Raw genomic sequence first — 18285 nt, forward strand, 5'->3', positions numbered from 1 at the left:
AAGTGAATAGACAAGTCTTGCTGCCTGCCCAAATTTTCATTCAGGGTCATGGGCAAAAGTAGCCCCACTAAGCAGAGGTAAGGAGACTAGAAGAGACCAAAGAAATTGCTTTAAGATTGTGTCCTATGAGTTGTGCTTGTGCAATATTCCAGTTACAATGATAACCTCCTAACATGGTCGGAAGTCAGAGGATGCTTGAGTGATCCAGCCTGTGGTCCGCTCACTCCTATCTTCTGCACTATCTGTCTGTTGGGATTCAATCAGGCTGGTGGGAAAAACATTAGAGATAATTATAGAAATAAACACAAAGCTTCTTGGAAGGCCAAGAAGTTTTGATAACTTCTGTAATAGATCTGCAGGTCCCATTACCTTTAGTTAAGGGAATATAGAGTAGTTTATCTAGCTAGCTTGTTCACTCATGTGGTCTTAAGATTAACCTTTGATGTACCACGGGTGCTTAAGTGCCTTTTACTTGGGAAGTCCACAATGTCAATTACTCTCCAATGGTGTTGACTCAAGCTTTTGTTAGTTAAACTTACTGAATAAATGCAAATCTCCCTAGCTCATGGAGGCCAACTGCAGTGACAAACTTCTCTTGGTGTGTAGGTGGTCAGACACTCAGCAGGACTGGCAAAACAGAACATCTGTGTGTCAGTGTACGTTTTATTCATCCATCGTTTGGGTCAGGGTCTGCGGGCAGACGCCCGCAGCTAATGCCCTCTTGTGAGGAGCAATACCTCATCTATGTTAATTACACAACCTTTGCCCACACACGTCAAAGATGATACAAGATGAGTATTTTGTGAGTGTGTCTGTTCCACTGTTATCAGTTCTAATTTTGAAAAATTAAAAAATGCTTTAGTGAATGTAAGTATACTTCCCTAAACTTTCCATCATGTTGCCCTAATTCTGCCTTTTCTAGTTACACAGAATAAATTAAGTGTCTCTTTCCTATGATAGCTCCTAGGGTTCTCGAAAAGAACCATTATTATAGACTTGTTTTCTCAGCCTACTCTTCTCCACACCAAACAACTCCAGTTTCTACTGCTCCTGGGAGTTCTTTTCACCACTTCCTGAGACAAGGTGTCTGCATGTTAGGAAGCATTCCACCTCTCCTTAAGATTTATGAGCAACACGTGTTCTTCAACTATGAACTATAATGGACATCTTCATAATTAGATATTGGTGTACTTTCCAAATATAAGCTTTTTGATAAAGTGGTGAATTTTTGAAGTTAGTAGTCAGATATTTGACTTAATTCTGAGAGCTAGCTGCTATTCTCCCATTTCTCAGTTGCCCGTGTGGAGGGGCTTCCTAGAGTAGTGCTCCTTGCCTCTTGCCTATCCCTTGCTTATGCATCCTCAAAGGATGTGAGCTACCAAGTTCATGAGTAACCACCATTGCTCCACTGTTTATAGCAATAACCTTCTTAAACATTTTGAGCAATTGGGATTAACTCTCTCCGCTCTCTTCTTGATACCAAGAAGAGACAATAATTTCAATAGACCGTAATTTTATCTAGGGTAACCTGTCCCAAGAAGCAATCAGCAATGGGAGAGAGGGCAGGAGAAGAGTAGGCAGGAAGAAATGGGAGCCAGGAAATAGCATTTCATAGTCATTTTTAAGCTATATTCTCCAAACAGTGTTACCCTCATTAACTAGGATATTTTTATTATTGTCACAATTAGTGGTGAAGAAAAAAATGAATGCAATTTATGCCCTCAAATTTGAATACCTGGTTCTCTGATTAGGTACCCAGGAAAAAGAAAAAGACAATGAGTTGTGTTTGAAGAGCACTTACAGACTTTGACTTCAATAAACTTGGTTACATGGAACTTTGACATTGACTGTCACAGCTAATTATGGCTAGAATCTGTAAGCGGAGCGTATTTTTAATAGGGTGGGGTGTTTGGATAATTCAAGTTATGAAGGCATCAGTGTGTGGTCTCCAGCAACTGATTTGGAAAAATAGAGGTGTGGCTTGTATCTAAGCAGGCACAGCTGAGGCAAAGTTTTAATTAGAGAGAAAAGAAAGTTTTTATGTAGACAGGCTTTTTAAGCATTGGGAAAGAATAATTTTTATTCCTTTTTTGTTTCTCTGTGTGATTTGCAAACAAGGAAGTCAGGACTGCAAAGGCAGTTGAGACCTACCTTTACTATAGAGCACTAAGACTCTAGTTTCAAACTGTTAGTTGCAGACTGAGATGTAAAGTACCATATCAGCTGTCCCAAAGTCCCTCTTGCTGAGACAAAGGAGAATAAGATATGGGCAAGAGTGAATTTTAGACTTTAATTTATTTGGTCTTTTAATGCAAAAATTCAATAAAATTTGATTTGGGACTTTGAAGACTTGGTCTGCAATTTCTAAGGGCTTAAACTTGTAACATACTCTGTGAACTTTAATATCTCTTTGGAAAATTCATAATAAGAATGAATTTATATAACAATTATGAGTACCTCTAAATTGTAGGCCTTAAATAATTGGTATAACTTAATGCTGTCATAAATTCATTACGTAAAACCTATGTTGAGCTATTGTGGACTACATGTCTGGAAATTTTGCAACGATAATCAAAGAGGGAGTGAACTTTCAGCCCTGAATATAGTGAGGCATTGATAAGATTTAATCAATATGTTGTTCTAACCTATTTCTGAGATTTCTGGAGACAAAATGTGCACCAATAAGCAACAGTTCAAAGACAATTCAGAGGGGGACAATTGTTAGAGACACTTCACTCAAATAGAAGCCGGACTTGCCCAGGCTTAATATTTCAGATAACTGGATTAAGACAACCAAAAGCAAAAGAAATTCGTGGAAAATGACTCAGGGAAGAAACATTTAACCCCCATTTCTTCAGTCTCCATGTGGAGTCACCTTGCTGAAGCAATATATTTGAATACTTTCCAACTTCCTTCTTGTCCTTTTATACCAGAGGAGTACGATACCTCGTTGGTGAAAGATGGCCATTGGTCAACCTTTCTCAGTTCCTAGGATCTGATCTACTAAAAAGCAAAAACATCAATAATTTGGTCTCTTTTATTTCCTCTCTGCCTGTGGCCAAAGAAAAAGTGACACTGGATAAATCCATCTACTCTGCAGAACCAAAACGTCCTTCAGGTGGGCTATTTGTATAGCTAGACTGGGAGAAGAAAAGGAGAGAGGATTCGTAACATAATCTGATCCTTATATCTGAGCCACATTCTTCAAAATAAACAAACAAAAATTAAGAAAATGTGTCAGCAGACATACAGTAAAAGAAATAATAAAGGAAATTCTTCGGGCAGAAGATAAATGACCTCCAGAGAAAAACATGGAAATTTAGGAATAAATAACAAATATTAGAAATGTAAACTGCATGGGATACAATAAATTTAAAATGTATAATCAAAATACATAACAACACAAATGGTGGGCAATAAGTGGTAGATGAAGTTAAAGTGTGTCAAGGTCCTAGCATTATCAAGGAAGTGGTCAAAGCAATCATTTTCATTTGACTACAATAAACAAAGATACAATGTGTAATTGCCAGATTAACCAGCAAAGCAACAGGAGAAAAACAAAACAAGACCAAGAGTTTCTAATAATTTACAGAGGAAAATAGACTGATAAAAAATACCAAATAAAGAAGACAAGAAAGAACAAAAAAAAAGGCAACATAAAACAGGTGACCTAAATAGAGACAAATATCATAATGTTAGGAAAAATAAACATGCCTAGAAGTAGATAAAATACTCAGGCAAAAAATCTCATTGTTAGACAGGATGTAAAAACAAAACTCATTACATTATGCTTCTAAGAAAACTACCTGAAATATACAGATGTCAAGAAGTTAAAAATAAAAAGATAAAAAAGAATATACCATGGAAACATTAACCAATAGGCTTCTAAAGCTATAGCTCAAATAGATTTAAGACAATAAATGAGGTGGAGGGAGACATTTCTCAATGATAAAGAGATACGGTAGACCAGGAAGATATTATAATCCTAAATATATGTGTATCAAACAATATATTTTAAATTACATATTAAGCTAAATTTCATAGAACTAAAAAGAATACACAAATTTTAATAAAATTATCTCAATCACTGATAGAATGAGTTGCCAAAAATCAGTAAGAAAATGGAAAAACACAACATCAAAAATACAACAATATAATTGATAAACACAACCTATAGAACTTTCACCCAACAATAATACCCATTTTTCTTCAGGTGCAATATTTACTAAAATTGATCCTACTCTGTGTCATAAAGCAAATCCCAGAAAATGTCAAAGGATTAAAATAATTCAGGGTTTGTTTTCTAAACACAGTTGAAGAAACCTAAAAACAAATAACTGGAAAGTAACTAGAAATTCCCAAAAGCCATTCACTGAATCCTAGGCCAAGTAAAAAAGACAACAGAAATTAGAAAATCTTTTGAACTGAGTCATAATGAAAACATGAACACATGAAAGCTAGTTGGATGCATCTAAAGAATGATTGGGGCCGGGCGCGGTGGCTCACGCCTGTAATCCCAGCACTGTGGGAGGCCGAGGCGGGTGGATCATGAGGTCAGGAGATCGAGACCATCCTGGCTAACAAGGTGAAACCCCGTCTCTACTAAAAATACAAAAAAAAAAAATTAGCCGGGCGCGGTGGCGGGCGCCTGTAGTCCCAGCTACTCGGGAGGCTGAGGCAGGAGAATGGCGTGAACCCGGGAAGCGGAGCTTGCAGTGAGCCGAGATTGCGCCACTGCAGTCCGCAGTCCCACCTGGGCGACAGAGCGAGACTCCGTCTCAAAAAAAAAAAAAAAAAAAAAAAAAAAAAAAAAAAAAAAAAAAAAAAGAATGATTGGATGAATTTCTTTAGCCTTAAATGAATACATTAGAAAGTGAAGAACAAGTAAAAGTTAATTAAGCCTCTGATATCTCCAAGCCTCCAAATCTCATGTTGAATTGTAATCCTAGTGTTGTAGGTGGGGTCTGGAAGGAGGTGGTTAGAGTATGGGGGCAGATTTCCCCACTGGTGCTGTTCTTGTGATAGCTAGTGAGTTCTCATGAGATCTGGTAGTTTAAAAGCATATGATGTCTTCCCCTTTCTTCTCTTTTCCTCCTGCTCCAGCTATATGAAATGCCTTCTTCAGCTTTGCCTTACACCATGATTGGAAGTTTCCTAAGACTTCCCCAGAAGCAGAAGCTGACATGCTTCCTGTACAGGCTGAAGAACCATGAGCCGATTAAACCTCTTTTCTTTATAAATTACCCAGTCACAGGTATGTCTTTATAGCAGTGTAAGAATAGACTAATACAGGAAATTGGTACTGAGGAGTGAGGCATTGTTATACAAATACCTGAAAATGTAGAAGCAGCTTTGGGATTGGGTAACAGGCAGAAGCTACAAGTGTGTGGAGGGCACAAAAGAAGACAGGAAGATGAGGGACAATTTGGAACTTCCTAGGGACTTGTTAAATTGTTGTGACCAAAATGCTGATAGTGACATGAAAAGGGATGGACAGGCTGATGAAGTCTCAGATGGAGATGAGAAAATTATTAAGAAGTAGAGCAAAGGCCACCTTTGTTATGCTTTAGCAAAGAGCCTGGCTGCATTATGCCCCTGCTCTAGGGATCCGCAGAACTTTGAACTTGAGAGTGATGATTTAGGATATCTGGTAGAAGAAATTTCTAAATAGCAAAGTGTTCAAAATTTTGCCTGGCTGCTTTCAACAGCCTATAATCCTATGTGTGAGCAAAGAAATGACATGAAATTGGAACTCATATTTTAAAAAGAAGCAAAGTGTATAAGTTTGGCAAATTCGCAGCCTGGTCATGGAGTAGAAAAGAAAAGCCCATTTTCAGGGGAGGAATTCATATGGGCTGCAGAAATGTGCATAGGTAAAAGGAAGACAAGTACTGATAGCCAAATCAATGGGAGAGAGCTTTGAAGGCATTTTAGAGATCTTCATGGCAGCTCCTCCCATCATAGGCCCAGGGGTCTAGGAGGGAAGAATGGTTTCCTGGGCCAGGTCCAGGGCTCCACTGTTCTGCATAGTCTTGGGACACTGCTGCTTGCATCTTGGCTGCTCAAACTCCAGCCATGGCCCAAAGGGGCCCAGGTACACCTTAGGCCTGTACCTGCTTCAGAGGGTGCAAGCCATAAGTCTTGGCACTTTTTACATGGTATTAAGCCAGTGGGTGCACAGAGTTCAAGAGTTGAGGTATGGGAGCTTCCACATAGATTTCAGAGGATGTATGGAAAAGCCTGGATGTACAGGCAGAAGCCAGATTCAGGGATGGAGCCCTCAGAAAGAACCTCTTCTAGAGTAGTCTGGAGGGAAAATGTGGTGTTGGAGCCCCCACACAGAGTCCCTACCGGGGCACTACCTGGAGGAGCTGTTAAAGAGGGCCACCATACTCCAGAACCCAAAATGGTAGATCTACCGGCAGCTTGTACTCTGTGCCTGGAAAAGCCGCAGGCACTCAACCCAGCCTGTGAGAGCAGCCATGGGGCCTGAACCCTGGAAAGCCATGGGGGCAGAATGGCCCAAGGGTTTGGGAGCCCATCCCTTGCATCAGTATGTCCTGGATGTGAGAGATGGAGTCAAAAGAGATTATTTTGGATCTTTAAGATTTAATTACTGTCCTGCTATGTTTTGGGCCCACGTGTGGCCTGCGGCTGCTTTCTTTTGGATGATTTCTCCCATTTTGGATGGAAATATTTACCCAATGCCTGTACCTCCATTGTATGTGGAAAGTAACTGACTTGTTTTTTTTACTTTATATGCTCATAGATGAAAGGGACTAGCCTTGTCTCAGATGAGACATTAAACTTTGGACTTTTGAGTTAATGCAAGAATGAGTTATGATTTTGGGGTAACTATTGGGAAGTCATGATTGCATTTTGAAATGTAAGAAGGACATGAGATCTAGGAGAGGCCAGGGGTGGAGTGATTTGGTTTGGCTGTGTGTCCCTGCGAAAATCTCATGTTGAATTGTAATCAATTCAACCAACACCAGTGTTGGAGGTGGGCCTGGTGGGAGGTGATCGTATAATGGTGGCAGATTTCCCCATTGGTGCTGTTTTCATGTAGTGAGTTCTTGCAAGATCTGGTTGTTTAAAAGTGCGCTGCACCTCCCCCTTCCTTCTCTCTTCCTACTTTTTTGGGCATGTGAAATGTCTTCTCCTGCTTTAAATTCCACCAGGATTGTAAGTTCCCTGAGACCTTCCCAGAAGCAGAAGTGACGATGCTTCCTGTGTAGCCTATGGAGCTATGAGCCAATTAAACCTCTTTTTTTTTTATAAATCACGTAGTCTCTGGTATTTCTTTATAGCAGTGCAAGAACGAACTAATATAAATTCCATATTGAGTAACTAGAAAAAGACATCTGAACAAATCCAAATAAAGTAGAACAAATAAAATAAGAAACAGTAAGAAATCATGAAGTAGTAAATGAAATAAAGAAAAATCACCAAAGCCAAAAGTTGTATTTTTTAAAAGATTGGTAAAGTTAATGAACAATGTAGACAGCTGATTAAGAAAAAAAAGAAATAAAACATTAATGTCTAATATCAGGAATGAAAACTTAACCTCACTACAGAAGCTAGAGAAATTTAAAAGATAGTAAGTGGGTATTTTTTTTAAAAATCTATATCAACAAATTTGACAGTAAAGGTGAAATAAATTTGTTGGTAAACTGATAAAAGAGCAAATAGAAAATCTAAATAATCCTATCATAAAGAGTCTGAATATTAATAAAAACTTTTCCAAAAAGAAAAAATTACCAGTCCAGATTGCTTTTATGTTGAATTTATATATGTATGTGTGTGTGTGTGTGTGTGTGTGTGTGTGTATTTAATTTAGACAGTCTTCAAGACGATAAAACTCATTTTATAGTGCTAGAAGAATGCTGACAAAATAACATGACGAAGGCAACGAAAGAAAGGCAAAATTAAGAATGATGTCTGTCATAAGTGTAGAGGCAAAAACAAAACATTAGCAATTGGAATTTAATGACACAGAAAAAAATGTAATACATTATGGCCAAGTGTGGTTTATTGCAGTAATGTCAAAATGTTTTAGCACTAAAAAAAATCAATACAATTCACCACAATAAAGAAAAAATGGAGGAAATGATGATTACCTAGGTAGATGTAGAAAAGCACTTAAAATTTAACACAAGATTTTTTTCCTAATTCTATTAAACAAGGAACAGAAGAAAATTTACTAGATGTGATGAAGAGAATCTAAAAGTAACTTACAGTAACATCATATTTAATGATGAATTTTTCAACACTTTACAGGAGCAAAAAAAGAAAGAAAAAGGATGTCTTTATCATAGTTTCTGATTAACTTTACACTTGAAGTCCTAACCAGGGCAAAACGTTAAGAAAATGAGCATTAGATGGAAGAGAATAACACACATTTTTACAAATTGCAAGTTTATTTTTTAAAATCCAAAAGACACCTCAAACCAATAGAACTAAGTATTGTCTTTGGCAAGGTTGTTGGGGATTGAACTTGTGATCAATATGTGAAATCAATGATAATTCCTATGGATAAGCAATAACCAAAAACTGAAATTTTGAAAAAATATTAATTAAATCAATGCAAATAAATTGATCCAACAACAGACACAGAAGACCTCACCTGCAAAAAATCTAAAATAAATCTAAAATTGACGAGCTGATTCAAAAACATATATGGAAAATAAAAGACTAAGAATAGCAAAGCGATGTTGAAAAAGAATATGGCTAAACATTTACCCAAATATGAAGGCTTGTTATAATGTGAGCGCAAGACAGACAGTGTACTCTTACTGAAAGGAGAGAAAAATAGATCAATAGAATACAATACAACAATGGGAAACACTCATACAAGAGACAGAAGAGGTAGTATAGAAACATTCACACATATGTGTTGCTCTTATTTCTATCAAGCATGTTGCTATAGTGCAGTAAGGAAAAGGTGACCTTTTGAACAAATTGTTCTGGGTCAGTTGGCTATCTGTATGCTAGTTATTAAATCAATCCTTACATTAAACCTAGCTATCAATTCCGGATGGATTGTGAAAGATATAATGACATAAATTTTAGAAAAAAGTACTATATTTTCACAAACTTGCACAAGCTAAGATTTCTCAATCAAGACACATAGAGCATTAATTATAAAAGGAAAATGATAAATTAGACTAAATCAAAATTTTGAAGTTTTATTTACTGACACCATTAAAAGAGGCAAAATCATGCCACAAAGTAAGATTATTTATAAGACGTAAACTGACGAAGACTAATATATAAAAATATATAAGTCAGCTAGGAAAATGGCAGAAATGTGGAAAAGCCTTTACAAAAGAGTATACATGAATGGTAATAAGCATATGGAACAGTGCTAAATATCATTATTCGTAAGAGAAAGTTAAAATAAAACCACAAGCAAACTTTACATATTTATGGCTAATTAATTTACAACAAGGGTGCCAAGACAATTCAATAGGTAAAGAATAGTCTTTTCAATAAACGGTGCTGTAACAACTAGATATTTATATGCAAAAGTATAAAATTGGAATCCTACCAAATACTATATAAAGAAATCAATTCAAAACGGATCAAAGACCTAAAAGTACAACAAAACTCTTAAGACAAAAACACATACAAATCTTCATGACCTTTGATTAGACACAGTTTTTAAGATACCAACTGCCCAAGTAATCATACTAAAATTTGATAAATTAGACTCCATCAAAATTAAAAACATTTGTGCAGCAAAGGACACCATCAAGAAAGTTAAAAGACAACCCAGAGAATAGGAGAAAATATTTGCAAATCATACATCTGATAAAGGTTTAGGATTCAGAATATATACAAAACAATTGTGATTCAACAATAACAGGACAAATAACCCACTTATTAAATGGGTAAAGGATTTGAACAGACATTTCTCCAAAGAAGATATACAAATGGGAAATAAACACATGAAAAAATACTCAACATCACCAGCCATTAGGAAAATGCAAATCAAAACCACAATGAGATACCACTTCATACCCACTATGATAACTATAACAACAAAAAAGCATCAGTGGGGACAGATTTGAGAGACTGGAATGCTCCTACATTGATGGGAAGAATGTAAAATACCATAGCCACTTTGGAAACAGTCCGGCAGTTCCTCGAAAAATTCAATATCAACTACATGACTCAGTAATTCCATTCTTTGCTATACAGCTAAGACAGCTGAAAACAAACATCCACACAAGAACTTATACATGAATGTTCACAGCAACATTATTCATAATAACCAAAAATGGAAACAAACCAAATGTCTATTAATGGATGAATGGATAAATAACATATGATTTAACCATGTAATGAAATATTATTCATCCATAAAAAGGAATGAAATACTGATTAATGATAGATACAACAGGGAAGAACCTGGAAAACATTATGCTAAGTGAAAGAAGCGAAACACAAAAGGCCACAAATTGTATGATTCCACTTATACAAAATGCCTAACATAGGCAAGTTCATAAAGACAGAAAGTTCTTTATTATTTTCTAAGTTCTGGGAGTAAAGGGAAATGGGGAGTAACTGCTAATGGGTACAAGTTTCTTTTTGGAGTGATGAAAATGTTCTGGAATTAGATCATGATAATGGCTGCACAATACTGTGAGTATACTAAAAAAAAAACCCTGAATAACTCATTTTAAAGGCTTAATTTCATGATATTTAAATTATATCTCACTTTTTAAAATAGAAAATAAGATCACCATCATGCTGTCATATGACCATCATCAGAATGAATGAAATTAAAAAGACAACAAATTGTTGCTACAATTTTGGACCAACAGAACTTCTCACACACTTTTGGTGGGCATGTAAATTGAAGAAATCGCATTGAAAACTCTTTTCTATTTCCACTAAAGCTGAAAATATGCAAAACCTATGATTTTGCAGTTATCTCCTTGGCGTATACACTATAGAAATATGTATGTATGTTCACATAATTCATATAATGTATGTTACAAGTATGTTTACATCAGTGCTACTTGTAAAATCCCCAAACTATAAACAACCCAAATGTCCACCTATAGTAGAATGGATTAAAACTACTGTGGCAGTGTTCATACAATGAAGTGCTATGCAACAGTGAGGATGAACAAATTATTGCTACATGCAACAACATGGATGAATCTCACAAACGTAATGCTGAGTAAGATAAGTCATACCCAAAAGAATACAAACTATGGCCGAGCACGGTGGCTTACGCCTGTAATCCAAGCACTTTGGGAAGCTGAGGCAGGCAGACCATGAGGTCAGGGGTTCAAGACCAGCCTGACCAACATAGTGAAACCTCCTATCTATCCTAAAAATACAGAAATTAACCAGGTGTGCTGGCACACACCTGTAGTCCCAGCTACTCAGGAAGCTGAGGCAGGAGAATCGCTTGAACCCAGGAGGCGGAGGTGGCAGTGAGCCAAGATCGCGCCACTGCACTGGAGACTTGAGCCTGGGTGACAGAGACAGACTCCGTCTCAAAAAAAAAAAAAATATATATATATATATGTGTATATATATATGTGTATATATATATGTGTGTGTGTATATATATATATATATATATATATATATATACACACACACACGCATATATGATCCCATTAATATAAACTTCAGAAACAAAAGACTTCTCTAAAGCATTAGAAGCCAGGATACTTTTGGGGCAAATGGCAGTGGAAAAAGCACAGCATAAGAGACCTTCTGAGGCTCTGGTAATGTTCTATTTTGATCTGGGTGCTGGTTACAAGAGTGGGTTCACTTTATGAAAATTTTTGAGTTATATATGAAAATCATTGAGCCATCTGAAGGTGTATTATACTTCAATTTACAAAGTTTATGCTAAAAGTAAAGAGTCAAGAGAGAAAAATCATCATAATGTATAAATACTTAATGTATGTTAAAACTAGCATTTCAAATCACTTGATAAAATTTTTAGAGTGCAAAAAACAATAATACAGCTTTATGTGGAAATCCATTAATGACTTCTCTCCAAATTCAAGAACAATTGATGATTAGCTTCAAATATTCATAAGAATATTTTCCATATTTTTCCTATGTCCTGTTTGACTCTTTCATTGCTATGGTCAATACATTCCATATCAATGGCCTTCTCCAGATACAAACTTTGCAAGCCTCCAAACAGAAAATGAGAATTAGAAATTTTTCTTAGTGAATCTATGATGGTTCCTGAGAATTACCACAGTCTTTTCTAGATTTTCTCAATAGTTTAAAATATCTAGGAAAACTGAGATCAAGTTTTACTTACCTATAGTCTTAAGAATCTATATTAGTACTCATCTGACAAAGGGCTAATATCCAGAATCTACAATGAACTCAAACAAATTTACAAGAAAAAAACAAACAACCCCATCAAAAAGTGGGCGAAGGACACAAACAGACACTTCTCAAAAGAAGACATTTATGCAGCCAAAAGACACATGAAAAAATGCTCATCATCACTGGCCATCAGGGAAATGCAAATCAAAACCACAATGAGATACCATCTCACACCAGTTAGAATGGCAGTCATTAAAAAGTCAGGAAACAACAGGTGCTGGAGAGGATGTGGAGAAATAGGAACACTTTTACACTGTTGGTGGCACTGTAAACTAGTTCAACCATTGTGGAAGTCAGTGTGGCGATTCCTCAGGGATCTAGAACTAGAAATACCATTTGACCCAGCCATCCCATTACTGGGTATATACCCAAAGGACTATAAATCATGCTGCTCTAAAGACACATGCACACGTCTGTTTATTGCGGCATTATTCACAATAGCAAAGACTTGGAACCAAGCCAAATGTCCAACAATGATAGACTGGATTAAGAAAATGTGGCACATATACACCATGGAATACTATGCAGCCATAAAAAAGGATGAGTTCATGTCCTTTGTAGGGACATGGATGAAGCTGGAAACCATCATTCTCAGCAAACTATCGCAAGGACAAAAAACCAAACACCGCAAGTTCTCACTCACAGGTGGGAATTGGACAATGAGAACACATGGACACAGGAAGGGGAACAACACACTCTGGGGACTGTTGTGGGGTGGGGGGATGGGGGAGGGATAGCATTAGGAGAGATACCTAATGCTAAATGATGAGTTAATGGGTACAGCACACCAGCATGACACATGTATACATATGTAACTAACCTGCACATTGTGCACATGTACCCTAAAACTTAAAGTATAATAATAATAAAATAAAAAAAAAATTTTAAATTAACAAAAAGAATCTATGTTATACTGTTTAAAAAATTGGAAAAGGGTTAATTGATCTCCAGTTTCAGGAGATGTCTTAGTCCATTTTCTGTTGCTTATAACAGAATATCTGAAACTGGGTAATTTACTTAAAAAAGAATTTTTTCTTATAGGTATGGAGGCTGTGAAGTCTAAGATCAGGGTACTGCCTCTGGTGAGTGTCTTCTTGCTATTGAAGACTCTCTGCTGAGTCCCAAGGTGACAAAGGGCATCACATAGTTAGAGGGCTGAGTGTGCTAGTTCAGGTTTCCCTTCTTCTTATAAAGTCATCAGTTCCTCTCTCATGATAACCCAGTAATCCATTAACCCATTAATTAATGATGTATTAATTCCTGAATGGATTAATCCATTTGTGAGGGCAAAACCCTCATGGCCCAATCACCTCTCAAAGGCCTCATTCTCAATACTGCTACATTGGAGATTAAATTGCAACATAAGTTTTGGAGAAGACAAACATTCAAACCATATCAGGGGATATTCCCATGATTTCTCAAATAGTTCAGCATTATTCCATGTCAATGTATATATTTGCAAAAGAATTTAAAATTTCATTTAATCCCAGTTTTTATTATCAACTACTTCTGATCATTGATGCTTACAATAAAATAAATAATTTTGATATTTGTAATATTACAAACTGTGTATCTCCTTACGGGGAGAAAAAAATTCGTTTTATTAGCTACTAAATCTTTTACGTTTGTTAAGAGTCCACAAGATTTTTCGAGGCTGAATTCAATTCCAATTCCCTGCCTTCACATTAAAGTCTACATAAACTGCTCCATATGAATAGTTATTTAATATTTTATTACAGCTTTTAATTTTACTATCCCCTCAGTAACTTATTTCCCTGCTTACAAACCTTATGGTCAAGAAATTCTTCCCAACAGCAAATATAAATTTTCCATTCTGGTTTCCTAGCATTAAAAGACTTATTAAATTTTCCTTACCTCCACCCTGACCCATTCTTCTCTAACAAAACCACAATCTTTTACATTCTCCCTTCCATTTCTAATGCCATCTTTTGTCATGCATTAGCTAGTACCATATAAGCTGCTGCAATAAAAGAACATAGAGTATTTGCTAAAATAATCAATTAGGATCAGAAAGCTGGGTTCAGACTAACCTTTACTGCAACTGTAATCATAATTAAATTTCATAACCTCTATCAGCCTCACTTTCCTGATCTGAAAAATAGAAATAACAACAGTATCCACTTCATAAATTTATTGTGAAGATTATATGATATGGAATATGAAGTAAGCCAATGCCTTCTTACACTAAGAGCTCAATAAATAGTGTTGTTATAATTGTTATCGTAGTAGTAGTTTCTGCTTACAAATAAATGAAACAGCTAGGTTAACCCAAAAAATGGGAGAATAGGGCAGAGAATATGCATGATGCTTGGTGGAAGAACTCAAGAAATAATCCTTTGTAGTTACAATAATAAATAATGCTTAGCAGACTGCTTATAGTTATAATAATAAATAATGCTTAGCAGACACACAGCAGTTAGGGTCACTGAGGGGCCACAGCAGCTGGGGCTCCGCACTGTTCAGCATAAAGGGCACACAACCCCAAAGCTGCTCTAACTCTCCACTCCAAATTTCAAATTCCTAGGAGAGAATGCCGAATTACTCCAACTAGATTCAGGATATGTATTACTCTTGGGTCAATAAGCAAAGAACAGAAGGCCACAGGTATCACCAATAGAGATACACTCCTGTGTATGAAACCAACATCAAGAAAGAGGGTATTGGATCAACATTTTTAGATTTCACATAAGAGTGAGATCATGCAGTATTTTCTCTTTCTTTCCCTGAAATAGCTATTAAGTGTTCTCTCCACAAAAATGATAATTATGTGAGGTGATGCATATGTTAATATTGCGTAGGTTTAGCCATTCCACTATGTATGTATGTATGTATGTATGTATGTGTGTATGTATGTATGTAAATCATGTTGTACATGATAAACACATACAATTTTATCTGTCAATTCACAAAATAATGTTTTTGAAAAGAAAAAAACAAAAGAAAGTGGGTATTGGGCGGCCATACCCCTTGGTGTTGTTTTCTATCACTGATAGCGCTACTATAGCAGCAGCTACTACTGCTCCTGTAATTTCTCCTACTGCTGTTACTGCTACACCTCCTTTTATTATTATTAGCAAGCCACTTTAGTCCTTCATCTAGAATTGATGAGAAGACAGTAAACAAAATAAAAATCCTTGCCCTGCAAATCACAGAGGTTTGGAAATTGTGACTGCTGCCCACTATGATACCACAAGGAAAGAAAAAAGTCACGTTGAAAGATATTTATTTAGAGGAATTTTAACTTCATCAATTTAAAGATATAATCCTATTCCCAGACATATAATAAGAATAACTTCCAGAATCCCTCAGCAAACTTGAAACAAGAAAATATAACAATAACAGCTTTCAAATACTTTTACTATGCCCTGTAATTTGTACATTATTTTTTACTTTACCAAACACACTCTAAAAAATATTAAATTTACACATCATTTCTGCCTCAACTTGGCAAAGTATTGCAAAGTACATATTTATAAAGCAAGATTCAATTAAAATAGATTTAAATTATCTAATTTTGACTAAATTCCTTATTTAAATAATTATTGATTTAGCCAAGTAAACTGCCATGGATACTGTATTTTGTTAGTTATTACCAAACATATTCAGGCTTTCAAAAGTAAACAACACACCTTATAATTAGGCAATATGAAATTAATATGAATGGTCTAGCATTATCGTTACTATTTCCCCTAATTGAAAGGCAGCTAGCTAGTATACTAAGGAAAAAGGAATGAAGTTTTTAAAAGTATTGGAAAAAGAAGGAGTCTATGACTGAATAGAATTATTTTTATGGATTAATCTAATTTGCTAAGCACAGTAGCAAAATAAAGAGCAGGTGAATAAGAAATGCACAATCCATGCAATGTTTTGAATGTTTTTGTCCTCTCTAAAACTCATGTGTTGGAAACTTAAGCCCCAATGCAACAGTGAGGTGAGGCCTAATGGGAGGTGGGCAGGTCAGGAGGGTTCTGTCCTTATGAAAGGATTCATGAACCTATTTTCTACTGCAGAAGCGGCTTCCAGGAGTGGGTTCTCTCTCTCTCTCTCTCTTGCTCTTCTGTCATGTGAGGACACAAAGTTCCTCCCCTTGGGAGGATGCAGTATTCAAGGCACCAGCTTGGAAGCAGAGACAAGGTCCTAAATTGTGCAACAAAAATAACAAAGATTTTCTTTACATCTAATTAGACATAAAGGCTAGAACAATGTTCTTGTGAAAGGATGCTTTTAAGATGCTTTTTTGGAATTGAAATAGTAACAACATTTGTTTTTTTGTGATAAACACATACCAAACCTGATGGTGACTTGATCTTGAAGTTCTCAGCCTCCAGAACCAAAAGAAATACATTTCTATTCTTTATAAATTACCCAGCCTATGGTATTTTGTTATAGAAGCACCAAATGGACTAGAAAAACTGAGTGTGTGTTAGAGTAATAGGAAAAAGCATTGACTTTGCAGCCAAATAACCCTGAGCACAATCCTAACTCTGCCACTTATTTGTCAATTCAAGAACCAGTTTCAAAATTTATTTGATCCCCAGTTTCTTCACCTGGGAATAGGCACGTTAGAATCTAACTTAATTATTTCTCTGAGAAGACAATATACAGAAATAAAAAATAAGGGTCTAGCATGGAGCACAGCACACAATAAATCATTAGTTCACTTATTTCTTAAATTACCCTTACAGATGCACAAAATTTAAGTTCCATTCAAATATTACTTAAATTTTTTCTTCAAATAGATCAAGCTTAGCATCCATTTGATTCCAATAAAAGGAATGCCAATTACATAAAGATAAAGACTTAACAACACAGATTAGTCAAGGGTTTTATTCAAGGCTGAATGGAAGCCTTCGGTCAAGTCAGAAAAAAAGCCTAGGTCTCTTGACTTTTAGCTATGTGCTAAAATGTACTCTGCCTTACCTCTAGGTGACATCTGTTCCAGAGTTTTTGGATGCTTGCCATATAGTAGCCATACTACCCACACTTGAATATCAGAGCAGCAACAAATACAACTAGGTAGAAAGTCAAAGATATTCACCACGTTTGGAAAAGAATATGTTGCTTGTGTCAAAAACTAAATTAAAACGGTAAGCAAAGAGAACAAACAGCACACTGAGAAAAGGAATCTCAATAGGGGATTTTTATCTTGGTGGGGTGAGGAGGGTGGTGGAGGTGGAGATTGCACACATGAAAAAGAAAAAAAAATCCACTGGTGTAATTTACCTTGCAAATACAGTATAAGTCAGTCACCTCTCCATTCTGATGTCTTTACTTACTATCCCCATCCCATCCAGACTCAACAGAATAGTTTAGTTACAACTAAAGAAGCCAATAGATTCATGGCATGTTCTAGTAGAAAACATACAAAATGAGAAATGGAGAGAAACCTAGGCTGTTTTCCCAAAAATATTTATGGAAACCACACTACAATGTTCCTGAAGAAACAAAAAGAAGAAGAAAAGGAAGATTACTGTGAGGTGAAAGGAATCAGGACAAAGATGAAAGAAAAATAAGCATAGAAAAGAAAGGCCTTTCACAGGATTTGTACTGCACATGTGCACTTATTTTATTCAGAAGAATGTTGCTACAGAACCCAGCAGGGGTAAACTATTATTTATCTCTGGTTATTAGCCAAGTCTAAATTGTGTAACAAAAATAACAAAAGATTTTCTTTATATCTAATTAGACATAAAGGCTAGAACAATGTTCTTGTGAAAGGATGCTTTTAAGATGCTTTTTTGGAATTGAAATAGTAACAACATTTGTTTTGTGTGGTAAACAGAAGCCTTTTGGCAGTGCAGTTGCTTTCATTTTGAAACTGCCAAGAATTATTTGCTTATCTGTGGAATTTCAACTACTTTCCCTGCCTGTGAGTCATATTGATGCTGA

At 36.0% G+C, this 18285-nt stretch overlaps 1 annotated feature.

The window, feature by feature from the left end:
- Window positions 213–780: an enhancer, noted in NCBI's record as "OCT4-NANOG hESC enhancer chr9:23324419-23324986 (GRCh37/hg19 assembly coordinates)". NCBI's record gives its function as "activates a minimal SCP1, AML or CMV promoter by ChIP-STARR-seq in naive and primed H9 embryonic stem cells {active_cell/tissue: H9 hESC(naive and primed)}" and the evidence as "EXISTENCE:reporter gene assay evidence [ECO:0000049][PMID:30033119]".

Source organism: Homo sapiens, chromosome 9 (assembly GCF_000001405.40).
Source record: "Homo sapiens chromosome 9, GRCh38.p14 Primary Assembly".
Lineage (NCBI taxonomy): Eukaryota > Metazoa > Chordata > Mammalia > Primates > Hominidae > Homo > Homo sapiens.